Here is a 12,684-nt window from a genome sequence, read left to right on the forward strand (position 1 = left end):
TAACCTCTCTTTGTGTCACTGACCTTGCTGCCTGTTTATGGCTCTCTGCATTCTCCCAGCTCTTCTTCTACCTGGCAACCTGATCCTTAGATATCCTTCATGGTCTGGTTTGGATGTTCCTGACCTTGAACAATATTCAGATTTTAATTAGTCATAGCCCTTCTAGCAGAGTTTTAGCTTTTTCCTTTGGCACAAATTTCAGCTTATTCAAAGTTGGGTAAGTTAGGTGAAGAGTCTCTATATCTGTCTGTGGTTCTTTTTCCATTTTTTTTTTTTTTGACTCAACACAGCTCAAGGATTTGCCCAATCCCATGAGAAATAGTATCTCCCGAAAATAGTGACTGCACAGAAGTGGATAGAAGAGAAGATCAAGCAAGCCTTCCTCAGGGTGTATCAAATTTTCCCAGGGTGGGAGGAAATCTTACAGTAAAAAAGATCCATCAGGGCATGATGGCTCATGCCTGTAATCCCAGAATTTTGGGAGGCTGAGGCAGAAGGATTGCTTTAGCCCAGGAGCATTGGAGTTACATTGAGTTATGACCGTGTCACTATACGCCAGCCTGGGTGACAGAGCAAGACCCTGTCTCAAAAATAAAAAAGTTTCCCTCTTTTGCCAGATGCATCTGATGTACCTCCAGAGGGGTAAGCCTTTTTTCCATACCTGTTTGTTCTTTAGAAATCACTGCTAACTAAAGGCCAGAGGAAAGACGCCTTGCAATGGGACTGGCCAGCATTCTGGATTTCTGCAATGGGAGCCAGAAATGAGAGAACCCAAGGTGTTACCAGTGGCAAATATCCGAGTTTCACCACACCAAAATGTTGGCGGTGGCAGGTATCAGAGTTACCCCGGCGGTGTATCCATGTGGGCCTGCAGCAACTTCATTTCTTGTCTCCTCAGAAGAAAGAATTTGATTGAGGGCCATAAAGCAGAAAAAGACCAAGGCAGGTTTCAGAGCAGGAGTGAAAGTTTATTAAAAAGCTTTAGAACAGTAAGGAAAGAAAGGAGGGAAAGGAGAGAAAAGAAGGAAAGTACAACTTGGAAGAGGGCCAAGCGGGTGACTTGAGAAACCAAGTGCACAGCTTGACATCTTGACTTGTGGTTTTATTTGTTGGCATACTTCCGGGATTTTATTGGGAAGCTGCTGATCAGTTTCGGTGTTTTCTATCTATTAGGAGACTACCTTCTAGCGCTGGCTGTGACCACTTATTACTTTAGAGAAACAGCAGCTGCCTGACCATCACTTGATGGTTGCCCAACACTCCTGGTGTGTGGGGGGAAGCCCTCTTCTGCCCTGCTCATACCTGACTAGCTACCTACTGTAACAAACAGCCTATGATTTGGAGCCGAACCAAGTCTCCCTCCCGTCAGCACAGGACATTCAGAGTGTGTGTGTCTGGGTCCCAGGTTTGTTTTTTTTTTCTTTTTTCTTTCTCTCCCCAGAATATATAGAAGCCAGTGAGAGCAAGAGTGAGCATTCACTCCTCTTAAATGCCACTTCGATTTTCGTGAATGAATTTTCCCTGCATCCTCTGAGCCAAGTGAACAATCTGGAAAGAAAATACCATGCGAGAGAGTCTGGCTGTGATGGCAGCACAGCGAATTGGGAGAGGGGCAGGGGAGGGAAGCGAGAGCTTTAGAGAGCGTTCTTCTTGCTATCCATGTCCCTGAGTTGTCCTGTCTCTGGGCAATTCTCTTATTATTTCTGACTTTTCTACTCTAAGATACATTTGTATCACATGGTCAACAGCATAATGAGATCCTTGAACAGTAAGTGGTAGTAGCACTGTTTCCTAATAGCACAACTTCCTAATACTTCACGTGCATAAACATGTTTCTGACTGCTACGGATATTTTATTAAGGTTGCCATCAGCCCTAGCGGTTGGTGGGAAAAGTTATTATTATGCATTGATAGTCCTACTTTTCAAGAGAGAGTAGGTATCCCATAGCAGTGCCATTTCTCAGAGTCAAACCAGTCTTGTGGTATAATACACACTTCCCTACAATAGAAAGAAAGACAGTCAAGCTTTTCATTTATTTATTTTTTATTTATATTATACTTTAAGTTTTAGGGTACATGTGCACAATGTGCAGGTTTGTTAAATATGTATGCATGTGCCACGTTGGTGTGCTGCACCCATTAACTCGTCATTTAGCATTAGGTAGATCTCCTAATACTATCCCTCCCCACTCCCCCCACCCCACAACAGGCCCTGGTGTGTGATGTTCCCCTTCCTGTATCCATGTGTTCTCATTGTTCAATTCCCACCTATGAGTGAAAACATGCAGTGTTTGGTTTTATGTCCTTGCGATAGTTTGCTGAGAATGATGGTTTCCAGCTTCATCCATGTCCCTACAAATTAATGCTCTTTTCATCAGGACATAAATGCATGTAGAAGGAAACCCATGATGCTGCCTTTAGCATTTCATTTTAGCAAAACACAGTCAAGCTCAGTTTTGGTTTCTAAAGCTAATATATAGCCATAGTATTTGGAGAAAGTCATGCCACCAATATATGGCAGGATAACTATGGCATATCAGCCAAGAGTAAGCCTGGCAAAGATGGTCTATTGCAAGGCATGCTATTATCTGGTCTGTTAATTCTAGGAACCAAAATCTTGTCTGCAGTTGTCACAAAAGTCTATTTGCTATAGGTATATGTATTAATATATGTATTTAAAGAGATTTTTTTAAAAACACTAGACTATAAATACAGCACAAAGCACTAATTCAGAATGACTAAATTTACATATAGACATATAGCTTGCTTTATAATGAACTCAAGCATAATAATCTGCAACAAACTATAGATACTCTCTTATGGCTCATATAACTAACCTCAAATTCCTCCACAGTAGGGATTATTGAAATATTTTCATATGTGTCTAGGAGAATTGTCTTTGTTTTGATATCTTTTGATCATTTTGGTCTGGTTCTGCAGATGCTCTTATTTTTGACTCACACTGTTTTTCTATCAAGGTCCTTATTCTGTTGACAGAGAATTTTCAGTCTCTGTTATCTGCAACGGCGCAAAGTTTGGATTCTAAACCACGCAAATTTATCAACTGCAGGTTAGCAAAGTTTCTAGCTTCTAATCTTATTTGAAAAAAATATCTATTACTAGGTACATGTTACTCCCAAGGGGTTTCTCTCTATATTTTAGTCATTTTCCAGTTTTTTTCTCTAAATGCTTTCTAACTGCTGCCTACAAGTTTTGCCACAGGCTGTCAAGCAGGAGGAGGGAAGACAGGGCAGTGGGAGTTGGGGAGACCTGCTTTCTATCCCCTGCATTTTCAGTGGGAAGAAATGTGTGTATCTCCAATCTGAACTGAAAAGGCCTCTGTTACTAGGAAAGAGTCAAAGATGCCGGGAGCAACACTAGTTCAAAAAGAGCTCTGGCAGCCATGACCTGGGATTTTACCTTTTAACCATTTCACACTCAATTTTGGACAGGCTACAGAATTGTCTTTCAAAACAAGCAGAAAGCAGTCTGGAGTTCTGGCTCTTAAAAGAGCCAGCAAACAGAATTTGAAGAGGTAGTTTAAAAACTTAAGTTTTTAAAGAAGTTTTTAAGAATTAGAGTTTAAACAAGAAAGTATTATTCAATCTTGCCAAATTTCAGGATGACCAAATTCTTTTATCTGCTCATTAACTTTTTGCAATGAAGCTTATCTATACAGCTCTTGGGTCAGACAGCTTGGCTTTACACACAGAGCTATTCTCCCTGTAAACCTGTCCACTCTCACCCCCATCTCCTTGCTTCCGCCAAACCTCTCAAAACTATAATTCAGCTGCCTAACCAGGTCTTGTATAAGACACATTTCCCAAATGAAGTCTGCAGAACCCCTTTTCCCAAGCCTTTAACAAGTGTGCTGTGAAGACACTATGCTAGGCTGAAAAACATATGGGAAATGCTGAATTAAATTAAGGAAAAAGGTTCATTTGTTTCAGGACTGCTCAGGATCTTTAATATGTTAATGGACATTGTAACTCAGAAAGAGAGTTTGTGTGATCATGATGGACTATTTCGTGGTATGTGTATGTTAACTGTAAGAGTTTTTTGTGTATCCAAAAGATGGTTTGGGAAATGCTGTCCTAAGAACATTATCCAAACAGTATTCTGAAATATATCCTTATGTTATTCAACCCAGGTATTATAAGATATAAGTAAGGAATATAAAACCAGTTCTATTTTCTGCCTTCATATTATAGCCGAGGGCCTGCACCCAACCTGACATCTCTGAGTCAGTTTTGACACCAGCTCTTTCACCTTCAGATCCAAATCCAGCATTCAGAATTCCCCACACTATGGCTCCAAATTACCTTCTGAGTTTTTCTACCTGACATTTGGGGAGGGACTGTACATAAACAAGGCAATAGTTGCATCTCTCACTATCATCCACATATACATATGGAAGTATTCATCCCTTGAATCAGTCCCTAGAATCTCCCACCTCTGCACTTTTCTCATTCCACCTCTTATCCTTTAAATGTCCCTTCTTCCCATCTCCACTTGTCAAAATCCAACCTGTCCTGTTAGGGCAATCTCAAACTCTTTCAGACGGCCTTTCTCCGTCAACCCTTTCCAGAACAAAAAGTTGTTCCTTCTCTCTTCTTTGAACTGTCATAGTCCTTTGACTGTTTTTGATGGTACTTAACATTCTGCCAGAAATGATTATTTACCATGGGGTTTCTTCTTATCTTCTTTAATAGTACTAACTTCTGTCTGTTGAGCACCTACTGCATATCAGGTACTTTTGTTAGGGGCTTTATGTACCTTTTTCTTACTACCTGAAAAGTTAGCATTCTTACAGCCTTTTACAAATTAGGAAAAAGTTGAGTCACTCAAGCATCCTAGCTGGTAAATTATGGCTGGAATTGTCCTTAGACCTAGACTCTAGTCTGCCTCCCTCTAAAGCCCTTTAGCTGAAAGAAGTGGTCTTTACCTCATTAAGGAAAGAATTCTGTAAAGGGTTCTACTACCCAATTGCACAAACCACAAGCACCAGAAACTTCATTACGATAATGAAGTAGAACCCTAAAGAGGTTTATAAATAAGAGACTTCCCAAAGACTTCAGCAGGATTACTGAGAAGGACTAAACCATTCTCTGTAGTAAAAATCACACCAATTGGTTGTATAACAGATTCTGATTCCCCTCACTAATGCCTTTTCACCATCAAGCAGTGAAATCTTAGGATATTCCCTCCTTGCCAAAATAGGCTCAGTTTTCCTCTGGATTCTCTTTTGGTGCCTATTTTATTTTAGTAATATTATGCCTCCTCAGGAGAATAATAATAGTAACTTCTGTACCAAAATAAAAATAATGATAATTATAATGATAATAAATATATAATAAAACCTATTTATTCAGGGCCTACCACTGTATTAGGTTATGTATTAGTTGCTTTATATATATTACCTTATTTAATTGTCACTATAACTTTATATGTCCCATTATTCTCGTTTTACCCACGAGAATACCCACGAGAAAACTGAGATTCAGGGAGACTAAACAGCTTGCCTAAGGTCACGCAGCTACTAGCAACGACAGCTCTGGGATTCTGGTCTACATACATATCACTTATTTAAAAACCAAACTCTTCTATTCAGTGGTCCTCTAACTGGAGTACACACCCCAAAGGGTGTGTATATCTTCATACATTTTTTGAAGGTATATAGTGTGCACTTCTAAGAAAATCAGTTTCTGGATCTTCAACCCTCCTACTTGAGATATTCTTTCCTAGAGAACAGACCTGTGTTCACAATAGCTCTTCATTTCCCTCACCTATTTTAAATCTTACTATGGGCACATTGCCCTAGGATGTAAAAACCTCAAAGAGCCAGGCAAAGGGAGGGTTTCCTTTGATGGGTAATGAAGGGACCATGAACCCTAGGCTTCCTGCCTTTCCTGGCATTATTCTTCTATCTATTAAAGGTGGAGAGTAGCATTCCCTATGCTGGGAAGTTGTGATTTAGATACATGGTAGAGTGGGGTGGCGGGAGAAGTGATACTTTTTTTTAATAGCCTGGCCTCTTTCATTTCCTGACTATTGAGGGAGAGTCTTATAAAAGAAAGCAGAAACTGTCCATAAGGAATATAGAATGCTAAAAATAGATTCAGTAAGACATTTACATGCAACCTTTTCCCAGTTATTTTCAAAGGAGTATTGCTTACTCCTTTATAGCTATAAAGCAAGTCGTGTCTGAACAACATATATGGGGTGGGGATGATACGGGAGGAGGGCAGAGGAGTGCAGAGAAGTGCTGGGAGAAGGAAGACAGGGTCCCTGGTGAGGGCCCCACCTCCGGGCCTGTGGGCACGGACCTAGGCGAGGACAGGCATTTCTGTTTTTGTGCCCAAATGTTGCATTTTCCAAGACCACCCCCTGTCCTGCCCCGCCCCCGTCCTGTGCCCATGAAAGCCCCGAGACCCTAGTGGGCAGAGACAGAAGTGGGTGGACATGGAGAGGAACACACTGGCCGAAGAGCACACCGACAGGCACCAGCAGACGCTGCCAGGCCATTGACCGACGAAACGACGTGGAGTTTGGTCGGGATGGTGGGAGGAGACCGCAGCCGCTGCCCGCCCCGACTACAGGGGAAAACCACCTTCCCACTGCATGCTCCATACCGCTTGTGGCTCCCCATCCATCTGCTGAGAGCTACTTCCACCACCCAATAAAACCTTGCACTCATTCTCCAAGCCCACGTGTGATCTGATTTTTCTGGTACACTAAGGCAAGAACCCAAAGTCCACTGTCCTTGAGATAGGGCAGAGGGTCTAATTGAGCTGATTCACACAAGCTGCCTACAGACGGCAAAAACTAAAAGAGCACATGGTAACACATGCCCGCCGAGGCTTCAGGAGCTGTAGACATTCACCCCCAGAAGCTGCCTTGGGGTCAGAGCCCACGCTCCCTACAACCTGCCTGTCTGCCTGCTCCCTCTAGGGGGTTTTGAGCAGCGGGGCACTGAAGAAAGGAGCCACACCCTCATCGCACGCCCTGTGAGGGGCACAAGGGAACTTTTCCTGTTTCAGTGACACTAATTCTTTTCATTGTAACAAGAAGCTTTTTCAAGATACATTAGCAAAAACACAGATGAAATTTTATGTGATCTCTTTTTCAGATCTGATAGTTAAAACCTATATTATAAAGTCATATGAAATATTTATTACAGTTACAACCAATCCTTATTTATCCTATAAAATTTTTAAATTATTTAAAACTCATTAACAAACAATAAAGATATGTGCTAGTGACAAATCTATATACAAGAAAAGATCAAAATTGATCATGATTCATATTTATAGGAAACGTATTCCCTATATGATTTTATATATTATTATAATCAATATTTATAAAAATATTTATTTGGTTGTGATCATCATAGTTTCAATGCAATTCAATATTTTAAAAAACATTGAACACTTTAGGTCACTGGAAATAAATCGAACATTTTAATTTCTAAATTTTAATTAATATACTTTTTAAAAATTGTAGCTATCATGAGGTGATCAAAGAAGTTAAACAAAAGACTTTTGACCGTAAAACATATCAGGATAGATTTTTTTTTGTGGGGAAGCAGAAGAGAAACATGAATTTAAATAGGATAAAGAAATATGTTAAATTTCCAAATGTTAAAAAATAAGCTTTCTTATGTTTTTAAAGTGAATGATGGTGGGTATCAAATGGTTGTGATATTACATTTTATTGGATAATGTAACAGTTTTATGTTGAAATGTCATATTTAAATATACCAGCAAATGTATATATGATTTTTATATGTCAACGTTAAAATCTGTGAGAGGGTACGTAGTTTTCAAAATTCTTGGGCATGCAAGCAAGAAATGCAGAAGACCCCTATTCTATATTACACATCTTCATTTTTATAATAAGACTTTGGTTATTAGTTACAGAATGATTTTGCTTAATATTGCTCAAGATATAGTCTTTGCTTACGAAGTTTTTTTTATTTTTTGACCCAAGGTCTCCCTCTGTTGCTCAGGCTGAAGTGCCATGGTGCCATCAAGGCTCACTGGAGCCTTGACTCTTTGGGCTCAAGTAATCCTCCCACCTCAGCCTCCTGAGTAGCTGGGACTACAGGCATATGCTACCACACCCGGCTAATTTTATTTTTATTTTTTATAGAGACAAGGTCTTACTAGGTTACCTAGGCTTATCTCAAACTCCTGAGTTCAAGTGATCCTCCTGCCTTGGCCTCCCAAAGTGCTAGGACCACAGGCATGAGCCACCATGCCTGGTCGATTAAGTTTCAGTTTCCTAAAATGTGCAGCAGGACTCAGTAAGATTTTTAACTTTGTAGGCATGGAAGGAGATATCCTTAGATGTGTGCCTACAGGACAGCTATCACTGGTGCTGGCCATTGAAAATATGTGCTTGATAAGATCAGAAGTATGGGTCAAAGTGAACTTGATTATTCAGTTTATCACTACATAAAGAAGGAAAGAATTTACTAAAGGCCATGGGCAGTCCAGAGAAGGATCATTAGAAAAGGAAACAGTAAAATAGCCTACTATATCTTGGTAGAGAAAGAAACACGTCACTGTTAATTTTTGTTAAATATTGGTAATATCAGTTCAATTAGTCCAATTGTAGTTATGTTCTGTTACGTTAAAAAAAAAGCCTTATATTTATGTATCTTAAGAACACACAATAATATAGCTTATAGTACTTAAGAAGTGGCCAAGTGTGGTGGTTTCTGGCTGTAATCCAAGCATTTTAGAGGGCTGAATTCTTGAGGCCAGGAATTTAAGACCAGCCTGGGCAACATAGTCAGACCCCATCTCTATAAAAAATAATTTTGAAAAATTAGCTGGGTGTGGTGGCACATTCCTGTAGTCCTAGCTACTCAGGAGGCTGAGACAGGGGGACTGCTTGAGGCCAGGAGTTCAAGATTACAGTGAGCTACGATTGTGGCACTGCACTCCAGCCTGGATGACAGAGCAAGTATCTTTCTCTAAAAACAAAACAAAACAAAACAAAAACTGAAGAGTTAAAATACATTGCTGTATTACAGTAGCCCCCAACCTTTTTGGCACCAGGGACCAGTTTTGTGGGAGACAAATTTTCCAGGGACAAATTTGAGAGGAGCAGGGGAGAGGTCAGATGATTTGGGGATGAAACTGATTCTCATAAGGGGCATGTAGCCTAGATCCCTTACATGCACAGTTCACAACATATATGCTCCTATGAAAATCTAACACCCCCGCTGATCTCACCAGAGGCGGAGCTCAGGCAGTAAAGCTCACTGGAAGCTGCTCACCTCCTGCTGTGTGGCCCAGCTCCCAGCGGGCCACAGACCAGTAGTGGTCTGTGGCCGCTACTGTGGGGACCCCTGCTGTATTAGACTAAACACTATAAAAATATTTTTATATTTTTCTCACACATATTTTTTGTTTACTTAGTCCTACTATTAATTGCTGCTAATTCACCCTAGCTAGTTCTGTTATTATTTTGTGTAAGTAATAGCATTTACATGACAGACAAGTGAAAAATGTAGAATAACACATAATTTCATATAAATGCCCATTTTCATAGTTTTATGTTAACTTAGGAATAATTTGTTATATATGTTATATTAAGATTTTTTGGATGTAGTATGCCTGGGTCCTTATTTGTCTCTCTAAAAAACTGATTACCTAGGAGAGACAAGGACTCAAAACATAGCCGGGCCAAAAAAAATGAATGTAACTTACATGGTTGACAAGATTTTTATACTTTTCATACTTCACGTCCCTTGTGGAAAAACACCTCTAGCTTTCTGAGATTAGCAGAGGGAACCTTATTTATTTATTTATTTTTTGAGATGGAGTCTTTTTTTTTGAGATGGAGTCTCGCTGTGTCACCCAGGCTGGAGTGCAGTGGCATGATCTCAGCTCACTGCAACCTCTGCCTCCCGGGTTCAAGTGATTCTCCTGCCTCAGCCTCTCCAGCAGCTGGGATTACAAGTGCCCGTCACCATGCCTGGCTAATTTTTGTATTTTTAGTAGAGACGGGGTTTCGCCGTGTTGGCCAGGCTGGTCTCGAACTCCTGACCTCAGGTGATCCGCCTGCCTCCGTCTCCCAAAGTGCTGGGATTACAGGTGTGAACCACGGCGCCTGGCCTGGGAACCTTATCTTTTAAACAGATATTGATATTTGGATTCTGATATTTTCTTGGCTATGACTAAAAATATATATTTTTAAATTGTTACCCTAAACAAATCTCACTAGTGAGTTAAATGGAAATGTACATGTGGGTATAGCATGCTGTGTTTGTAGGTGGTGAGAAGCTAGGAACCCAATCACTGAGACACACACACACACACACACACACACACACACTTGTCCTGAATCTTGGTCCTTTTCGTACTCTCTAGGACTCTCGGCTCTGACATTTTATTTCAGGTTAATTTTCTAAGGCCTGAATAAAGATAACATCTTGGTTTTAATCACACACACATAGACATTCTAAAATTAGCACTTATGCATGTACTCTGTCAAGAATGGTGACCAGCATATGTGTTTTCTCATTTCTCTTACTCTGTTATAATAAGGTGAGATGTGGGTGCTATTATTATACCTATTTTCCAGATAAAGAAACAGAGGTTTGGTGAGATTATAAAATATGCCCAAGATAACCTAGCTACTAAAGAGTAGAGATAAAATTTGAACCTAGATATTTATAACTCCAAAGACTGTGACTTCATCTTCATGAAGGCCTGGAGTGTGTCTATTTTTGTTCCCCGTTGAATCCTCAGGTTCTAAGCAGTTCCTGGCACATGGTAGACATCCAGCAACTATTTGGTAAATGAAAAGCCATACTGCTGTGTGGTCAGTTGAATCACATGCATAGGGAGCCTAGAGCCCTGTGGCAACCCTTGCTAGGGCACTATCATATCACCCCCTGCATTGGGCTCAAGTGGCATTCATCGACTCCCTAATTAGATGTGTGAATTCCTTGAGTGCAGGATCTTGCTTTATTGCCTCTAGTAAAGCCCCATAACTAGCATAGAGAAATAATGCCTGAATCATGGTAGGTCCTCAGTAAGTATGAATGAATAAAAGCCTGAAAGATATATCAGAATCTTGAAAATGGTGGCAAGATTTCTAGATTCTCTTTTGACTATTGCTTTAACAGTCAGACACCTACATGTGTCAAACCTCGTGGTCTTTACTTAGGTGGCAAAAAGGCAAGAACAGTGTTGCTAAGTCAGGGTATATTTTTGGCACCATTTTGGTGGATTTGTCAGGATAAGCAAAGTCTAAGTCATTGTGAAGAGGGCCAATGACCTTGCCACTCCAATTCCAGAAACCACACCCTTACTCTGTGAATCCAGTGAGACTGAGCCCCTTATTCTCTGACACACACTATCCTGTGCGTTCTTAAGAAGGTACCTAAATGATTGTCATGAATCTTCTATGATTTGGTGTGAAGAGGGACAGCAGAAAACTTGTGAATGATGAACTGGGTAAACCTACAGTGCTCCTCCCGGGATCACATCAGTCAGTGGATGAATGTAGGATTTAAATTCCGTCTGGGAAGTTAATCCTTTCTGGGTCACAGAAACTGGAGGTGGTGTTTTTAGTTAAAGCAGAATGAAAGTGAGCCATATCTCAGCCTTGATCTCCCTCACTTTCTGTGTAATCATGATTGCCACTTTAGGTTGCTCCATTTACTGGGAGGTATCTGCAAGGAAGACACCAGCAATCTCTTTTTTTTTTTTTTTGAGACGGAGTCTTGCTCTGTCACCCAGGCTGGAGTGCAGTGGCGCGATCTCGGCTCACTGCAAGCTCTGCCTCCCAGGTTCATGCCATTCTCCTACCTCAGCCTCCCAAGTAGCTGGGACTACAGTTGCCCGCCACCTCGCCCGGCTAATTTTTTGTATTTTTAGTAGAGATGGGGTTTCACCGTGTTAGCCAGGATGGTCTCGATCTCCTGACCTCGTGATCCGCCCGCCTCGGCCTCCCAAAGTGCTGGGATTACAGGCGTGAGCCATCCCGCCCAGCCGACACCAGCAATCTCTTTCTAGCAGTGCCATGGCAGTTATCCTGCTGCTTGACAAACCCCAGACTCAAATGCTTCTCACCAGTACTTTTTGGTCAGTAATTCTTAGAGGTGAGGGTTGAGGATGTGAAGCCAGAGGTATGTTTGCCCAGCAGTCACACATTTATGTTGATTGATACAATACTACTTTATATAGCACTTATAATTTTATGCAAAGCTCATCACGTTTCTTCAGAAAAATAATTAATATGCACTTCATGTGTTCTTTCCTTTAGTCCTACTACTTTGATATGGTTTGGCTGTGTTCCCACCCAAATGTCATTTTGAATTGTAGTTCCCATAATTCCTACATGTTGTGGGAGGGACCCAGTGAGAGATAATTGAATCATGGGAGTGGTTTCCCCCATACTGTTCTCATGGTAGTAAATAAGTCTCATGAGATCTGATGGCTTTATACGGGGAAACCCCTATCGCTTCATTCTCATTCTCTCTCTTGCCTGCCACCATGTAAGGCATGTCTTTCATCTTCCATCATGCTTGTGAGGCCTCCCCAGCCACGTGGAACTGTGAGTCCATTAAACCTCTTTTTCTTTATAAATTACCCAGTCTCAGGTATGTCTTTATCAGCATCGTGAAAACAGACTAATACACACTCCCTTACTTAGGATTTATAT

This window comes from Homo sapiens, chromosome 1 (genome assembly GCF_000001405.40).
Source record: "Homo sapiens chromosome 1, GRCh38.p14 Primary Assembly".
NCBI classification, from domain to species: domain Eukaryota; kingdom Metazoa; phylum Chordata; class Mammalia; order Primates; family Hominidae; genus Homo; species Homo sapiens.